Genomic DNA, 20,000 nt, shown 5'->3' on the forward strand with positions numbered 1-20,000 from the left:
ATTCACTGAAGCATTATTTATATTAGTGAAAATTTAGAAACAACTAAAAAATCAAGCACATTTCTATCCATTACAGTTAATTTTTAAAAGTCTGACAGAAGGCTTAGGTTATGATAATAAGTAAGTAAAGCAAGTTACAAAGCTTTAGAGACCATCTGATTTAAGCTACACAGAAAAAAAAATATGTAAATGACTGGAAATTTACCAAAATTTATAGTGGTTGCATAATATTGTGGGATTATTTTAATTATTTCAGATAAAATACTTTCTTGTCACTCTAAATGAATATCTTGTAAAGTTACCATTTATGAAGTTATTCTACAAGTGTAATGGAATCAGTAATGAAAATCACATATATTTTTTAAATTATCTTTTAAAGATCAAGGGATAATAAAAGCTGAAAAATGGAAGATAAGAAAAAGTTAAGAACTGGGGACTCAGACTTGTTATATATATATATTTTTTGAAACAGAGTCTTGCTCTGTTGCCCAGGCTGGAGTTCAATGTCTCAATCTCAGCTCACTGCAGCCTCCACCTCCCGGCATCAAATTATTCTCTTACCTCAGCCTCCTGAGTAGCTGGAATTACAGGGATGCACCGCCACGCCCAGCTGATTTTTGTATTTTCAGTAGAGACTGGGTTTCACCATGTTGGCCAGGCTCGTCATGAACTCCTGACCTCAAGTGATCCACCGGCCTCAGCCTCCCAAAGTGCTGGGATTACAGGTGTGAGCCACTGCATGCCTGGCCATGATTTTTAAGTGTGGTAAAATATCTGAAAAGGACTAATACAGAATCAGGCAGGTGAGCAATAAGCCCTCATTGAATGTCCAAACCTATTGAGTTTTTTCACTTTTCAAAAATTACTGGAAGTCGGCAGCAAATCCCTCCAACTAGAAAACTTAGTATTATGAATGTTAACGGTTAAAAACTGGAGGATCGGCCAGGCGCGGTGGCTCATGCCTGTAATCCCAGCATTTTGGGAGGCCGAGGTGGGTGGATCACCTGAGGTTGGGAGTTCAAGACCAGCCTGACCAACATAGAGAAACTCTGTCTCTACTAAAAATACAAAAAATTAGCTGGGCATGGTTGTGCATGCCTGTAATCCCAGCTACTCAGGAGGCTGAGGTAGGGAATCGCTTGAACCCGGGAGGTGGAGGTTGCAGTGAGCCAAGATCGCACCGTTGCACTCCAGCCTGGGCAACAAGAGTGAAACTCTGTCTCAAAAAAAAGGAGGATCACTGAAATATATACATTTTCATTGAAATTCAGAGAAGCAAAACTAAATTACAGAGAAACAGTGAAGGGAGAACAATGTAGAGAAAAATAACAAGTTATCATTGAGAATTTGTGAGACTAGAATACCATAAAGCTATAATTACTTTTCAAGTCTTTAAAATGCTAGAAGTTAGAAATGTCCCATTGTGAACATTATACATACAAAATTGACAGATAGAAACACTGTTATTTCACTGGAGGTAGGTAGTGCCTATGACTCCAGGCAAAATTAAGTGGTGAATTAAGACCAAAACATCTACATAATTCTAAACATTTAACTTGGCAGCATGGAGTTGTAGAAAGGACATTGAACTTGGAGTCAGAAGCCCTGGTCCTAATTGTAGTTCTGTTGTAAATCAAACTTGACCAAGTCACTTAAGCTTCCAGAACTTTGGTTCCTCCTCTGTAGCGTGGGTCATATTTGTTTGTCTTATGGAATAATGGTGAGATTGAATGGACAATGCAACAGGAGAAGCCTTTGTAAATAAAAAAAAAATTTCCATGGAAAAGAAAATACACTGTCATTATTATAATTTGGGTGGGGCTGAAGTTTAGGATTTGACTTCCTCACATATAACCTGGTACATTTACTATTTGCCAATTAGTCATAATAGTAAGTAATTAAAAACAAACTTTCCATAAGGCTGTTACAGTTTTAAAGTTTCCTTCATACACAGTGTCTCATTTATTTCTTTACAACACCCTTTGAGTTAAGTATTTGTGCACACCTCATTTTTACAGAGGTGGAACCAAGGCTCAGAGTTAAGGCCTTAGCTATTTACAAGGCATGTTACTTGCCTTAAGTCACCTACCTTGTAAATAGCCAAGGCCTCGACTCAAATCATAGCTTCTAATTGCAAGTCCATTGCTTTGTTGATAACAACAATAGCAAGTAACACTTAATATACTTTGAGCACTTACTATGAGCCAGACACTATTCTAAGTGCTTCACATGAATTTTCTCATTTGCAATTCACAATAGTCCTACAAAGTAGTTAGGAATTTGAAGCATAGGATGGTTAATTATCTCACCTAAGATCACACAGCTTGTAAGTGGCATTTGATCCAAGTTATATGGCTCTAGAGATTGGCCTTTTAACTTCAATATCCCATCTCCTACTCATAAGTGGGTTCAGGTCACCCACTCAGCTGCTGAATTTGTTCTCATTGAATGCAAATACATCAAGGACAACTAAGTTTTCTAGATCATTGCCATGGCAACAAACCACCAATGGCTAGAAACTCTTCTATGTTTTGCGTAAGATTCTTGATGCACAAACTCACCTTTGCTATCTTTGTGACTTTTTGCTAAGGTCAATATCGTACATCCTGGGTTTCCTACCCCTGGACCTAGATGCCCAAACTCCAGGCCTTCTCATTTTCTGCACACTTGGATTGGCTGCTGCTGGTCCCTTGTGGGCCTGCCATTCATGTGGGGGTTGCCCTACTACCCCTCACTAGCTGTGGTATTGACATAATCATGTGACTTCAGTCTAAGACTGACATGATACCAGCAGGAGAAGAGAAAATAACAGGTGCAAGTGAGAAGAGCCTGGTCCTGCGTCTCACCAAGAGCTACTCATTCCTCAGGAGTCACGAGCCATGCATCCAAAACAATTAAAACTTTGCACATCAACAATGATTTCTTTCTTTTTTCCAATCTAGAATAGATCTTAATATTGGCTATTTTTTTTATTACAGGCAAAAGAAACTGCTTTCTATCACTTCAGAATATACAGGAGCATCTCAATCCTAGTCTTTCTTTGTCTTATTTTTTTTTTTTTTGAGTTTGCATTATCTTTTTCAGACCTTAGCTTTGAGGTGTGTATGCAGCTTCCCCCATCACATGACCTCACCAGGGAGCAACTGGCCTGGGGAAGCTGGACTGGGAAGGGCTGAGTCAGCAAGGACCACAGTCACAGCAGGCACCCTTGAGGGGACTGGGGTGAGCAGGAAGCTGTGTGTGCTGAAATCAGCAGAAAGCATGATTTAAAATTAAATTGGTGCATATTTTTAAATGCATTTAAGCACCACTTTAAATGGTACAATAAAAAGCAACACCAATCTTTCTCCATCACACGCTCCTCAGACTTCTTACTCCAAGGGGAAATCCATGCCCATTAAGGGCAGATGTTATGGAAGGAGAAAAGGAAGTAGACTAATATTTATAACTTGCCTAACTTTAAACATAACTTTTCTCTTTAGTTCTGAAAGTAACTCTCTAAAATATGCTCAGAGAAATTAACCCACCAAAGGTAAATCTCATCTCAGAGATGAGATTCAATTAGATCTAATCATAGAACTTTATGCACTTCGCCATGTGATCTTAGAGGCAGAGTTTGAGCTGAAAATGTGATGCTCTAACAGTAAAATTTCAAGACAATTGTCAAGTAGGAAAGGACTTTTTGGGGACGTGAAAAATGAAGTGTTTAGATATTTCCAATTCTCCTAAAAATGAAATTAGGTAAGCCTGTATTTAGTGATGGGCTTGTAAACCATCTTTCTGGAGAAAAACAAAAACAAAACCTCACAAGCCCTGATTTGTACCTTTTGCCAATTTCTGTGGTATAAATACTCCTATTATGGCCCATTTCAAGTTTTCAACAGGCTCACAAAGTTGTTGAATATTTAATAATCAGTTCTCAAAAGCTGGGACAAGCCTGCTCCAGCACTCCACTGCAGTCATTTTACTCCAACTATGTGTTAACTCATCATCTAGGTACTGTTCTCAGGTTTAAAATCTAGACAAAGCTTCCCAGCCTATGCGGGGGTCAGTGTGCCCGGCACTGTGCTGTGCCACTCTGACTCCCCTTCAATGAAGGCTGTGTTGTCCTTGCTGCAGCAAGCGCTGTCAGTCCCTTTAGGGATTGCCAAGACTGCAGAGAAGCACCTCACCCAACGTCATGCACTTTCCAGAGTGACCCACATCAAAGAACAGAGCAATTTGGTGTTTTAGAGGCCTAGCCTTCTGAATCCAACTGAGAATGACTCTGAGGGCTCATTCTAGCTCCACAGCTTCCCAAGGAGGCAGCCACAATTGTTGGGCCTGCATCTCAGCTTCATTTCTCTCTCTACCCACTCAGGCTTCCTTCCTCTTCTACTGAAAGGTGTCAATCTCAAGGGCACTTGATGAACTTCCTGCTCACTACACACTACCTGAGGGTCCACCACTTTTCTGGGAACCCATCATATGACAGTTAGAAAGAAAGATGAAGACCACTCGAATTTGCAGGACATTCTTGCTCCACACACCCCAACCTGGGGCAGAACTCGATAAATCAGAGCCCACTTAGTCCTGTGATCAGAAATGGATGTGAAGGGAGCAGCTGGGAGACTCCATAACTCCAGGCAAGCTTAAAAGGCAACAAGAGACAACCAGCTGAATGTGCAGCTTCGTTAGGTCCCCTCCCCTCCTGTGCCCAGCTGTCTGTGGAGCCTACCTCAGGCTGTATCTGTTACTAAACAGGAGCTTCCTAATGACCTCAGGAGAGAACAGGGAAATGCAGCTGGGTGGAACTTTAAATAACTACTCGCTGGAGACCAGCAATGATAAATGTGCACTCTTGCCACAGTTTAATATTTTAGAAGGAACAAAGCAATGGGGAAAAGAATTGAAAGATCCATTGTAAATATTATTTACTCAGACTTAAAGTACAATGGGAAATCTCTTTTTTCCCTTCCACTCTCTCTCTGTTTTCTGTTCTTTGCTCAGGCTCCTTTTCTCTCCCTCTCTCCCTGCCTTGAATCTCTCTCTGCCTCCTTCCATCCCTACGCAATTATTTGGAGAGCAGACTTTTTAGCAGTTCAGTCCTCTGAGTAGTAAACAACCATCACAGAGCACACATAATTCACCCTGAGGAGAAATCTGAGGTTAGATGCTTGGTTACAAAATAGCCAGCAATTAAGACAGGACAGAGTAGCAGTAAAAAGGAGCTACTGACAAGCAGAGAATGATAGATACCTGGTTACATCATCCATTCATTTATCAAGATCCACAGAGAATTCACCATTTGCCAGGAATCATGGAATGAATGTGACCACTAAACAGACCTAGTCTCTGCCCTCCTGGAGCCCACAGTCTAGTGAGACTGTAGACAAGTGACATTGAGAAGACAGACATGAATCAAAACATTATAGAAGTAAATATTAACTTACAACTCAGCTAAAATGCAGTGGGGGAATGTCAGGTGGAGCTATGAGACTGCAGACCTATGAGACAAAAGACCTGGATACTGTAGTAGAGTAGCATGGGGACATTCGGGGTGAAGATGAGTGTTCTCCCAGAGGTAATCAGCCCCTAAGAACATCCTCATGTCAGGCCAACAGCCCATGCACATACTGGTGCCGCAAGACTCAGAATACAGAATTTAAGATTTCAGAAAAGACACAAAGGATAAATGCTTGAGGGGATGGCTTTCCCATTCTCCATTATGTGATTATTTCACATTGCATGCCTGTATCAAAACATTTTATGTAACCCATAAATATATATACCTACTATGTACCCACAAAAATAAAAAATAAAAAAATTAAAAAATAAATTAAAAATTAAACATTAAAAAAGATTTCAGAAAAGAGTGGAATTTTTAAAGGTAGATGTTATCAAAAATATTTAATAGTTACAATAAAAATAAAATTTTAATAAAATATAAGATATTATATTGTTCTCTAAGATGAGGTGTCCATATCTTAGAGAATGGAAAGGATGATTTTGGTGTGCAAAGGACATACTGGAACTTCTGTTTATATTTCATTTTATCTCATCCTTTTAAAAAATTCTAGTTTGATATCTGCTTTATAATGTATAGAGTATATTGATACAGTAGTCCTTACATCCAACTTGTAAATAAAAAGGTATATGGATATATTCTCAAACGCATTTCACTGGTGGGTGCATAATCAAAAGTTTGGAAGTTAGTATTTGCGTGGTGCATTCTGAAGGCAAGCTTTCAAAAGTGGCCATGGTACCTCATGGCACTTCCTGCCCCTAGGAGCAGAGTGTCCCTGTGTTTCTAGATTTCCAATCCCTATTCCAAGATGATCTCTCTCTTCTTCTCTGCCCTTCTCTACTTTAAAAAATATTTTTTTCTAAAACTTTTTATATATACAAAATGATCTTAGAATATTCATGAATAAAATGGCAAAGAGCTGGCAGGAAAAAAAAACCAAAAAACCAAAAACAAAAAACTGCCTTCCAGAAAGCAGCAGGCACTTACTGTTACTTAGTTTTGTCCTCTGCTTTGAAATTCCCTTCTTCCAGATTTCTGCATGGCATAGTCCCCACTTCATTAGGACTCAGCTCCGATTCACCTCAGTGAGGCCTTCTCTGCAGGACATATCTAAAGACCCTTCACTCCGAACCTTCTAATTTTGCTAACTTCTCTTCATAGCACTTGCCTCCACTTGGCTCTGGATTACAAATGCTTGTGCTGAACTTCCTTTGTCTATCCCCCTCCAGGAAGTTAAACCCCATGAGCACAAGGACTTCGTTTTGTTCACTACCATACTTGCAGCACCTAAAACCAATGCCTGGCAAGTGGCAAGTGCTCAATAAATAAATATTTTTTGAATGACTGAAGGAATGAAGAAAATCTGTGTTGTTCAATGATGAAATCAAAACCAAATGGAATATTTAGAGTCTTTAAATACATTTCTGAGGTCATCTCACAGGCCAACTTTTTGCCAAAAATGTTGAATGAAAGTGGAAGAAAACAGCTAAAGCAAACAAATTTTTAGTTTCTTTAGTAACAGCAGATCTCTTAAATAAGGTTTAGGATGAAAGGAGCTGCATCCGCCCAAACAGCCTCATCCCATTTACTGCCAAACTTGACATTCTCTGGAACCATCTCACGTGGTAGGAGCCAAGAATTGTCATGATAGAGAAACACAAATCATGGAGCCCTATTCTCTGTTGAAAGGAAGAATAATTGATAGTATCCTACAAATGCTTCTCCACACCCCCAATGCTGATTTATCATCATGAAGCTTGCTTTCTCTCAGTGTGCCTAGAAAAGTTTCTTAAAAAATTTCTTTTCAGTCCTTTGTTTATCCTCCCCAAGAGTGTCCTAGTGTTAACTGTACATATTTATCTCATGGCCCAATGACTCTCTCTGCTCAAGCGATTCCTGTTACAGGAAGAGGTTTGCCCCTGGCCTTATTGAAGCTCAAGTAAAGGAAAAGACTAGAAATGCAAATGTAGTTTACAAATAAATATATGAGAATTAAAACTCTGAATGATGAAAAATCAAAATCACCATTAGGAAAAGTTGGATGGTGAGAAAAAAAAAAGGACTTTGATTTATTTATTTAAAGCTACAAAAAATTAATTATTTAATTCTTCAAAAACAAAATTACTTTTAAAAGTCTTATGGTTAGTTGTTTCTATAAGGGCTTCCTTAAAGTAGCTCTAAAATATGTAGTATTATCAACACAATTGAAACGAGCTCTGATGACCTATTTGCAGCTTGGCAATTCTCTTTATTGAAAGAATAGAAAGGACAGATTGCTCAGCAGTGTAACTCACTTCAAAGTAACTTCCTTTACCAAGCGATAGTGTCTACTTGTCACACAGGAAGTGAAGACTTGGCAAAATTTTCGCTGGGTAGTTTCCTTTGACTTTTTGCATTACAGTCAACTTATCTATGAGTGATAGGAAGTGTAAATTTAACTGTACTGACAACTTTTTGATAATCTACTGTATCTGCAAGACTTTTCCAGCCAAATGGCCCACTGACCCTTCCAACTGAGTATTATAAACACCTAACATGCTAAATCAATGATGAATAAATTAATGATGAAATAGATTGATTCATTCATTCATCAGTTTAAAACCACATTTGTGACCAGGCACTGTGGCTCACACCTATAATCCCAGCATTTTGGGAGGCTGAGGCAGGCAGATCACTGGAGGTCAGGAGTTTGAGACCAGCCTGGACAACATGGTGAAACTCCATCTCTACTAAGAATACGAAAAGTAGCTGGGCGTGGTGGCACATACCTGTAGTCCCAGCTACTTGGGAGGCTAGGGCATGAGAATTGCTTGAACCTAGGAGGCAGAGGTTGCAGTGAGCTGGAATCGTACCACTGTACTGCAGCCTGGGCGACAGAGCAAGACTCTGTCTTGAAAAAAAAAAAAAACCACCATATTTGTGATTTGTGATTTTCTCCTACAAATCAACTCCTTCTTCTAACTTTTAACTTCCACATTTTTGCCTCACCACCCTTCTGTGAACCCACATGACCAGGGTAGCAGAGGAAGCTGTTTTTCCTCTTCTTCTGACTAGTTGGGCCAAGCCCTTCACAGCCTTCCTTCCTCGTTTTTCTTGCATCTACCTCTTGGTTACCATCCAAGTCTAGGCTTCATCTGTCTCTTTGCTTTCACTCTCTACCCTGTACACAGCAGGCACACTATCCTTTTGCTTTTGTCAACATTACACTGTTCCTCTGACTACAAATAGAGAGGGCATTACTCAGCCTGGCATTCAGGGGCTTCCAAATCAAGGTCTGCCTTCATTTTCAGCTCTAGGTTTCACTGGTCTTCCACACTTCAACAAATTGGAAATGCTTTTTCTTTCCTGGAATATTGTCTACCCCTTTTCCCACATCCATATCATGCTTTTCCTTCTGCATGGAATTCCTCCCCTCTGTCCCCCCAACACCACACATACCCCTATCATCAGAGTCAATCAACTGCCCTTCTTAGAAATCTTTCCTATTACCCTTAATAAGAGACCATACTGTCCTGTTCTGGACGCCTGTGGTTCTTGTCCCACTTTTTTGATACGTGCCTTTAGTGTTACTCATTCATTTATTCATATGCTATGTTTTTCTCTGATTTACTACTAAACTCCTTGGGACCACATCTTGTTTCAGAATTGAAATTGATAGGACTCAGTTCATTTGTGTTGAAAGAATAAATGAATGAAAGTATGAAACAGAAAGTTATTTTATCATCTTCTCTTCAAAACAGGTTTTGAACTTCCTATTGACATAAAATGCAGAAATATTTGGTAGACATTTTGGTATTCCTAAATATTACATAACAAACTTATGTTTGCAAAGCTATCATGTAATAGGATGTAGGCCCTAAAGGGTTACAACCAGTTGCAGGTATCTTGTATACACAGAACAATTTGACAAATGGTGGTGGAAACATTGGCTGAACAGATACAGAGCAACATGGTCTTGTTTTATCCTCTTAGAAGGTTGTTTTGAGTTCATCGTCTGCTCATAACATATAGAAGAATACTGTTTTCACCAATCTTTAAGTGAAAATATTTTTTTTCTTTTCTACACTTTTATCTGTGTTGAGCATGAACAAAACAAGTTTGGCATATGGTGTTTCCTGAAATTTTTATATGTTTAAACATGGCATAAAATCACAGTACATTGCTGTTTATATAAATGCCAACAGCTCTCATATTTTCCAGTTTTATACCTTCTTATTGGAAGGAACTCACAGAGCCATCAAACCAGTTCTGTCTCTAAGCACGTCAATGCCTAACCATCCCAGAAATACACGTGCTCTTATAAAATCTTCTAAGAGGCCATTACATAGCACAAGAATTCATTCCAGCCTCTCCAAATCCTGAAGTCAGAAATTTCATCCAAGACACTAAACTATATTTTTCTAAGAGTAAAACCCATTTTCAAATCATGTAACTTTTAGAAACAAAGGCAAAATACTCCCTTTAAAATATATCACAAAGGAAAAGGACCCAGTGGGGCCACACTAATGGCTTCTGTGACTCTGCTGAGCCGGACTTCTTCCTCAACTCTGACCTCCCTGCACTCTTTCTAGCACTGGTCATCTCCTTCTGCCTGTCTAACTGTGAAACGCTCTAGGTCTTAGCCCCAGGTGCCCTGCCCTTCTCTGTCCATGTGGCCTCTCAGAGAGCCTGTCCAGTAGTGTGGGGTATAATAATTTACTCAGGTCTCAGAATTAAGTGCTATAGTCCAAGTTCTATCTCTTCTCTAACCAGTAGTGGGACCCTGAACTCACCATGTATTTTCTCTGGACATTAATGTATTATCCATATATGCACAGCTAAGATTAAAGAATGTCTCAGGTGTCTACAAACATTAAGCATCCAGGACACTACAATTCTACCAACTCCAAGAATGATAATTTCTAAATACTGTATGTTTCTCTAGCCATATGTGCTCTGCCAAGATCTCAGACTCATCAATTATTTATTCATTCATTCATTGTTTAGCAGCTATTAGGCATGGGGCACCAGGATAGGCTTTGGGGATACATTGGTCAGTAAAAAAGGTATGGTCCCTGCCTTTGTGAAGTTTACAGTCTAATGGACAATAAGCAATGTAAGAATGCTAATAAACAAAAAGCAAGCAAATACATGTATAATTTCAGATGATGTCAAGTACTATGAAATAAGAGAGAAAGAAACAAGCACATACCTACCCCAACACACACACACACACACAGAGAGAGAGAGAGAGAAGAGAAGGGAGGGAGGATACAGTGTGAGAAAATGGGTAAGCCCTCTCTGAAAAGATGGTACTTCAAGCCAAAACTCTAGTAATGTGAAGGAGGCTGATATTCAAAGGGTAGACGTGAGGCCATTTTAGGTGAAAGGAATGACAGGTACAGAGGTCCTGAAGAAAAAAGTTCTTGTTGTGTTGAGTGAACAAAATAAGGGGCTGGTAGATCTGCAGCAGTGGATGTGAAGTAAAGAAGAACAAACGCAGCATCTCTCTCCTCACCATTTCACCTGAACTCGAAGTAGGACTAAAATCCCTAACTCATTTGCCCATTAGCGTCACCTTGGTGATCTTCTAAAAATTCCAAAACCCTTGATACTCCCTAAATCAGTCAAATCACAAACCCAGAGGCAGAACACAGTCACACAGTCATCAGTATGTTTTGAAGCTTCCCAATGATTCCAAAGTGCAGAGAGTTTGGGAACCACTGACTTAAATTGATTTTAGTGCTTAATTTCTTGTTTTGCCCATCTATGAAATGATGAGGTTCAATTTAATGAGGTCGGGTCTCTTTCTTGCTCTAAATTAGGTGATACGTATATGCAGATCCAGGGCATTTGCACCCACCCCTTCCTCAAGTCTTCTTTCCTCCCCAAACTTTTACCCTACAAACTTCATATTCTTTTATCCGGGCTTAAAATCCTGGAAACTTAGACTCTTCTCTTCACACTGTTCCTACAAATCAGGCAGGCTCTGTTGATCCAAAGCATCCAGGTTTTTCATGAAGCCCTCTTCAATTCTTACCTGGATACTCACTTACTGCAGTCTCACCTTCCAGTCCACCCTGCCCTGATGGCCATTCTGAGTTCAATCCCTACTGCCTACCCAAAGCCCTTCTCAAGTGCCATCTCCCCAAGAAGCTTATGTAACCAGCTCAAGTACCTATGACAACTAGTCTGTAAAGTTTCACAGTCCTCATAATTCATATGATACAATTTAGGACTGAATTATATACAAGTATCCATTATACGTTGGTCTTATCTCCCCAAATGAGTGTTAAATAAATTAATAAAAGAAATACACATTTTATTAATTCCTGGCATATATTAAGCATTCAAACATTATCTAATAGTAGCAATGGTAGCGTTATTTTTGGAAGTAGTGGAAGTGGCAATGACATTGGCAGTGGTAGTGCAGTGGCAATAGTACTAGTAGTAGTAGTGGTGGTAGTAACAATGGTACAATGTGAAGGCCCCATGTTAGCCAGGCACTTTATACACATCATCTCATTTGAACATTAAAACAATCCTGCAGAATAGGTTTTAAGCTCCTCACTTCACAAATAAGAAAGTTAGGGATTAGGAAGCTTAAGAAACTCAAAGAAGGGGGATGGAAGATCTATCTAATCCTAACTTTGTTTAAACATTACTCAATGTTACCTCCTTATAAGCCTCCCAAAGGAGAATTCTCAGTAAGGAAGACAGGCTACAGGTTGTTCAGTTTTGCAGATTAACTAGTGTCCCCCAGGATTGCCACATAAGCAACAAATATGTATAGTGACATACTCCAGGTATTTATAAACAAAATCTTTTCCCCTTAAAGCCATGTAATACAGTAAGTATGCTAGTAGATGCCCCTTTCTATACCAGCAATGAGAGGAGGACTTAGTCAGGTTGCTGAGTCACCTGTTCCCATCTCCAGATGCCATGATTGACAAGTTCATCTAGAAACTACTTGAGCCACTCAAGGTCAAGTAAACATTTTATGTACCGAACTTGCAGAGCTCATAATCCACTCACTGAAAACACCAAGAGGGCTCCAGCAACTTAGACGTTTTCTCCATCTCTTGCCCTAATTTTTCAAAAGCAAACATTTGGCTCTGGATGCTGATGAAGGAATAAATATGTGAATAATTCAATAACAAAATTTCTGGTCAGGCATTTATTGGCAATCCTGTTCAAGAATATAATTGCTACAGCAACAAGGATAATTATCAGCATTTGGTGGGAGGAGAGGTGTCAACCTGTTTGAAGAAATAGTGCTGTATAGAAATGCAGATAAAAATGTGTAGGAGAGTGAAGAGAGAAATAATTCATGTCCAGGTACTAACCAAAGGTAAAACTCAAGAATGTATTTTAATTTAAATCCTATGTTGCTAACAAGTTTAAAAAATATTTATTTTAAAAGAGATAATTTATTATTATCATATAAACAAAAAGAAACACATGGAAGAGATAATCCAAAACAGATAATCCAAAAGCAGTGGCAGATCTAGAAGTTGCTCCTCTTTATTTCAGAAATACATTATCTAATTTGCTTTTTTTGTGCTTCAGTTTACTTTCCCAAGTCTGATTTAGGCTAATATTATAATTAGTTTGACTTTCCTGAGCCCTTACCAAGTGCTAGGAGGAAGTTAATCTAAAAATGTGCTAGTGGAAGATAATATGAAAACAATTATTATAAATTAGTCATCTTGACTGAGGAAAAATGGCAGACCAAGTACCTCCCCTTCTGTTCCAAACCTCTTAAAATGGAAAAAAAAAGGTGTGTTTTAACATAAAAACTAAGTACATATGGGATAAAAGTGAAACAATGGACTTCCACAGTGTCAGAAAATTCTCAGCTCTGACCTGAAAAAAAATCTCAAATAAGTGATGTGAGATCCTGGTTCTTAGTACACACTTGTTAAACAGGAATTCATTTATTCCAAAGACTGATCCAGGGTTTACAAGGCACCACAAAAGATAACCTAACCTGATTTCTGACCCAGATTCCTGAAAGCAGAAGAAAGTTTTCCTTCCAGTAACTGAAGCCGTTCACAAATCTGCAATTATGAAACTATTTTTAAAAGATGACTCATTTCACAATTTTTTTCTACCTAAATTCCTTAACCAAACTGATAGTCACGATTTCTTGACACTGACTGCATGTCAGTGTATTTATACATAGCCAAGTGGCCAGTGTTTTGTGTTGGTAGCCAAAAGCCAGTCATCCTAGGTTTCCAGGTTTGCAAGTGAAAATGTTTTTATTCTACTCCATTTTCCCTTTGGCTTAAGAAAGATTTGAACTGCACTTTCAGCTGGCATTATATACAACGGTGCTGAAAGCACATGTGTGAAAACTTGAATCAAGTATCAGGAAAGGCAGAGTTGATAAATGTTTTTTTCTTTTAACCAAATATAACTGTGGCTTGCAGAAAAACAAAAAAGAAAACCTTTCTTTCCTAACTTCTAGGAAAAAAAAATACAGGCAACTCAGCTTGTAATAAGGGTATAACTCAGGGTTTGACTCCTTAGTCAATTAACGTCTCCAAAAGAGTGGTGTTAAAATAGGCATATATGTGTGTGTGAATGCATTATATAAAAAGTATAAAGGCTCAAATATGATACAATTATTTATACTGTAAAACAAATATATAATACCAGACAGGATCCTTACCTTTTCAAGTATAGCATTTCCTTGATGAGGATTGATGTTGTGCTGACTTATTTCTCTTTTGTATTTATATTCATAAACTTGGTCAGTGATATTAACCAGCAGAGTTGATGGACTGAAAGTTAGTTTTACACAGTCATAGACAGTTCCACTTTCAATATCAGTTGGTGCTGTAGCATATCGTAAAATTAGTCCCATTATAAGGCCTAAAAAAAAAAGAATAAATAATGGTACTGGAGGAAGGCAATCTAAAATGCCACTATTGGAAACCTATATGATTTGGAACCTTCAGAAGTGACAGGATAAAGTGTTGGGTTATTGCCTGGTCTAGAAAAGTGTTCACTTTTGCATGGATACCAGTTCAACATAATATAGTGTTAAAATATTTGTAGTGAGCACCATTGCTTCAATACTCAGCAAATCTTCCCATTTTTTTTCTCCCTAGTGGACCTACTAATTTTGGAGAGAAAAGATACCTAACTCCTTCTATCCATCCAAATACTTTAAGAAAACCTTTGCTCTGTGATAGACACTGAGTCATCTAATCAGGAGATGGAATTCCCCTGGGAGTGTTTCTGGTCCACAGATTAGCACAAATCTCAGTTATCCCCATCAGACTTTATTATGTCACACCCCATGGTTGGGGTGAGAGGTGTTCTTGTTCTCTCTCTCAGGACATGACTAAGGCAATATAGTTCTTTTTTTTTTTTTTGCTGGCAGGTTATCTGTGACCATAAGTAGATCCAGTCCAAGAATGCAGCCAATATACTGAGGAGGGTAGGACTAAGATAGTAGCAGAAGACAGAACCTAGGTGTTGAAGGACATCACAGAGCCACTAGATCAACCAGCCTGCCCTAGAGCTACCCTAACTCTAAACTTCTTGCTGTGTAATATAATACATTCTCTAATTTTTCCGTTTTGAATCTAGTTTCTGGTTACTTGTAGCCAAATGCATTCTAATGACACCACATTCCTTTTCATAAACAATTCAACCTAAGTGACAATCCTTGAATTTTTACGTTTTTAAACTCTGTGAAGATGCTCATGGCAATCTGATAACTGTGGGCTTTTTAAATGTAGATTTATTAACAAGCAACAGAGAAACATCAGAAGCCTAAACTCTGTCAATTTAAAATTAGGACTGATGTATGTGTTTTGGGATAAATGATCCAGAGTTCACTCTTTAAAACTTCTAATTTTGGAGATTTTACCTCTCTTATGAATCTGGTCATCTAATAACCTTTTATTTCTTTAGTAAAACATTTTTGGGGTGCATATTGTGTACCAGACATTTATAGGTATAAAATTAGAATACAGGCCCAGTCTTACAGGAGCTCGTTTGTATAAGTGAAGATTCATGAACAAACAATTATAATAAAACATGACATGTGCTATGACCGCTGGGAAGCACTCTGTGATACATGAGTATAGACAGGGGGTATTCCGAAGCCCTTTGAATTATGCAAAGCTTGAAATAAATCTTAAAAGGTCACATAGATTTGTCCAGAAGAGCTGAATCAGAATGAGTTGGGATCCAGTTTGCACATATGGGTAGCAGCACGTAAGAGCAGAGACAGCTGGGATGCTCTCCCTGTGTGTAGACCAGGATCTATGCTCTCCCTGTATGTAGACCAGGATCTACGCTCTCCCTGTGTGTAGAGTTGCTATTGGCAAGTGGCTGCTCAGCCAGGTGCTATGCTTCCTGATTGTCTTGCATCTGGCTGGTTCTTACCAGTGGAAGAATGTTGGGATACTGTGTAAGAAATCACTAGTGATAACCTTACTAACACAATGCATATATACAGAAAGACATAAGAAATCTGGTGCATTTAGGGAGTCACTAGTGGTGTAAAAAGAGAATAAATAGAGAGAAAGAGAGACAGAGAGAGACTCTAGACCTAGACCATAGGCAGAGCCAGGTCAGAAAGAGGCTCCTCTCTCATGCTGAGAGGTTTTGATTTTTAACCCAATGGTAATGTAGAACTATTGAAAGATTTTAGGCAGGGGAGTAAACCAATCATGCTTTCATGTGAGAACCATCACTTTGGCAACAATGTTGAGAACTAATCAGAGTGAGGATGAGAATGCAAGCAGATTTCTTTCAAGAATATTTTTATTTTATTATTCCTGCTTCAGTGTTTGGCTGACTCCTCCAGAGTAATTAGAAAAATTGTATCCAAATCTCTGGGAGCAAGAGAAAATAAGTTATAGATACGTAACCCTCACTGAGTGCTTGATCCACCACAGCACAGTAGGCAACCTTCCATGCTCAGTGTTGAATGACGACAATAAAACTAGTCAGGAGCAAGAAGGGAACATAGATCATCTACACTCTACGTGGCTTAGGGTGCTTGCATAAGAACATCATTTTTTCAACACACGTTGCTTAGAAAGGATTTAATTCCTAAAAGTTATTCAGCAAGTACCATGAATGACACCATTACTATTCTTTCTACTTCTACAAAGACGGGAAGCACAAGATACTATCTGCATGGGGCCTAAATGGAAAGAATCCATATTAATGTCATTTGTAATTCCTAGTGGGCGAGGCACTCTTTTTTTTTTTTTTTTTTTTTACAAAATGCTTTCAATGAAACAACAAGAAATAAACATGAAGTGTCCACTATTAGTTCCCAAGCAGAGAAAGCAAGTCTTTGTCATAATAGTGATGGCCTGGTGCCTAGTGTGGTTAAATTCATACAAGACCTCCAAACCTAAATGGCCCTGACTATCCCTCTGCACTAGCTCTGGCCTCATTGTTCGAGAAGAAGCACATTGAAGTGAACAGAGGAAGCTGCTTGCTGCCATTGTGGCAGAGGTGACCAGATGTAATATCCATGAAAATGTACCTCTCAGATAGATGAAAATGTACCTCCCACTCTGAGGAGGCAATTGACCAGTGGTCTCAGCTTCTCTGCTCTGGAATCCATCACCACTTTCACACTGAGGTCAGGCTCCCAGCCGATGACTGAACACAGCAGGGATACTAAGGCAAGCAGATGGGGACTCCTCTGAAGGGCAACCATGGCTCAGGGACCCATCATTAATCTTGCCAAACTTTTCCTAGAATTGCACCACAGCCTAAAGATTTCCTACCCAGCTTTCCTTCCTTCTCTCTCTTCACAGGATCAGGCCTGCATCAAAACCTGACAGCTGTCCTGGCATCCTCATGCTCACTCCCCACATTCTCTAAAGGAATGAAAATCTTTTGTGCAATGAATCTCTTTCTAGCATCTGCTTCTTGGAGGACCCAAATTAACACACTCACCAAAAGGCTTCAGCCCTCCTTTTCCCCAAACCCCAAGGGTTGAGAAGAAACAACATCTTGCTAGATGGTAAGAGCCAGTGTGAAAAATCTCAGCCTCCTAACACATCTGGTTAAAAAACCCATGCACTCATTTGTGCACTCTTGCTGCAGCAGCGGCAGCTGGAAAATCCTTATTTGTCAGAGGCTACTTACCCATAGAGCCTCATAATGCTTTTTATAGTGAAACATCGACTCAGTGTTTTAGCCATATGCTGACAGAAATATGGAGTGTTGAATTAATGTACACTGACACAATATCATATATGAGTAGGTGACAGATAAAGTAGGATGGCTAGTAGAAAGAAAATGTTAATGAGAGTAGGTTGTTTTTATACCATTCAAAGATACAAGATTAAGAAAGCAGAAATCACTTGTTCACAGAAGAAGGAAAGAGGAGACTGGCTGCCACGGCTTATGAACAGCACAAAAGCACCACTCTTGTTGGTAAACCATGAAACCAGGCCCCTTCTTGCTGGAGGAGGAAAGAAGAGAGCCTGCCCCTGCAAAGGGATACCCACCCAGTCCATGTGCAAACAGCCCTGGCCCCAGGTTGAGGTTCCTGCATACACAACACTTCTCTGAGATCTGTCCCCTGGCCAGTTGGCAGCATCTCCTTCTCTAGGAAGGAACTCTAGTCTAGATGTATCCCCTGCTTCTTCAAGTCTGGGCGTCTGGGTACCTAGGATGACAGCAGAGTGTACCTGCACTTTAATGAACCCTGACTTCTCTCCACAGCCTACAAGTACCACAGAAAGCATGGACAATGGACTTCATTCCTAAAGCACTCACTATCCTAAAATGTCCCTCTTAAGTCCCACCCGTGGGCACCAGAACCCTGATAAAGTCTGTGCTCATTGAACTCCTTCATCTTTGCATTCTGATAGCATTTATTGTTTGAACCACACACTTTAGAAACCAGTTTTATAAAGACATATTATTCAGTGCTTCTTTACAGATCTTGGCTTTTCTCCTCAACCAGACAATGAGACTGTTTAGGGCAGAGGCTCTGTGCTATTCTTTATCTCTTTTCCTCTAGAAAAGCCAATCACTTTGGGCAGAATTGTAGCCCAACTTTCTCCAAGTCCACAAGCTCCCTGGAGTCAAGAAGAAAAGGTCCTCCGAGTTTATGTAGTCAGTCAGTTACCAACATTTTAAAGTGTCACAAATAAGGAACATCACACCAAATGCTGTGAAGTCCCTGTCCTTGCAGAGTGTTCAACATAACTCTTATATAGCACATGCATGGCATACAGTTGATAGCATGATGTTTGTGAGAGAAGAAAGAAGAGAGGGGACAGAAGGAAGGAGGAAACAGCCTCAGGAGTACTCAAACCAAGGAACATTAGAAAGATGAGCCTTACCTTCCTGAACTGATTCTCATTTTATTATCCACATTGAAAATAAGAGAAAACTCCAGTCCCTTACTCTATTACTCCCTTATTATGTGTTCATGCCACAGACACCTAAGGCATTGCTCTAGGACTTGTAGGAGTTATTATAAAGATAAATAAAATATGATTTTGCCCTTAAAATATTAAAATATCTTAACCTACCAGCCCCTTCCCTTCTGCCAAATCCTGCCATCTTAATTTCCAGTAAGAATAAGGTATAACAAGTATTTACTAAATTTTTTATATGAAGTCTGCATTTCATAACCAATTTCCCTTGCATCTTACTGATGGTCATTCCACATGAGGCTGAAGCATTTTCTTAAAGTGGCTTTTCTTAGAGAAATAAAAAATAGGGACTTACTTTTTTAAAAAGCTTAAATAAAGCAGATTTCAGAATGTTTTTTAAAACACAAAAGTGTTTTAAAGGAGATTTTAATCTCTTTGGCTGTGTTCAACACTATAATTGTGTCCAGACACCATCACACAGAGTTCCCTGCTGCTTGGCACAACTCTGGCCAGATCGCTTTAGACTCCATTCCTATAGGAGCAGAGCTTCCCCAGAGTTGCACAATGCAGCAAGCACAGCTATATACATATGCCTAATTAGACTATTACAAAGGTCTATATTTAAGTGCTACATGATGTTGGAAGAATTTAGGAGTCTAAAGCAAATGTAGTTACCACATGAAGATTGTAGGAGAACTGAGTTTTGCAGTTCTTTCACTCTCACTGCATTGAGTGGCTACCAAGAATAATCTAGATTCATGAGGCATCGCCAATTCTCTAAAATAAGAAGATATAGCCTCAAACCATGTAATATTATATAATATCATATTTCAAACTGGTAAGTGTATCAGGTCCTATTGATCGCCAGCCCAATGTCTATCCTTGTTTACCCCACAAAGCTCTGGTTTATTTGCTGTCCACCCCTCCACACATAGCCATATGCTCAGGGGAAGTTGAACTCACTCCAGCTCCGGGGATGTTCTCACTCTCCCTGCTGATAACCGGTTTGGAATGGGTATGTGACCCTATTCCTGTCAATAAGAAGTGAAGGGAATTTGCTAGGGAGCTTCTTAGAAAGGTTTTCACATCCTACAGGAGAGACACAGAAGAGATGAGCTCTCTTCTTTTCCAGCATATTA

At 39.2% G+C, this 20,000-nt stretch overlaps 1 protein-coding gene across 4 annotated transcripts in view; it reads right to left on the reverse strand.

The window, feature by feature from the left end:
- Positions 1-20,000, reverse strand: part of SLC9A9 (solute carrier family 9 member A9) — a 583,247-nt gene that overhangs the window by 552,638 nt on the left and 10,609 nt on the right. For 3 of the 4 annotated variants that reach the window (NM_173653.4, XM_017006202.3, XM_011512704.4), the window contains exon 2: positions 14,160-14,362. The exons of the other annotated variant lie outside the window; for it this stretch is intronic. In NM_173653.4, the coding sequence (NP_775924.1) occupies positions 14,160-14,362 (203 nt within the window). The remainder of the gene's footprint in view (positions 1-14,159; positions 14,363-20,000) is intronic. 4 annotated transcript variants of the gene reach the window in all.

The sequence above is a fragment of the Homo sapiens genome, chromosome 3 (genome assembly GCF_000001405.40).
Source record: "Homo sapiens chromosome 3, GRCh38.p14 Primary Assembly".
In the NCBI taxonomy this organism is placed as follows: domain Eukaryota; kingdom Metazoa; phylum Chordata; class Mammalia; order Primates; family Hominidae; genus Homo; species Homo sapiens.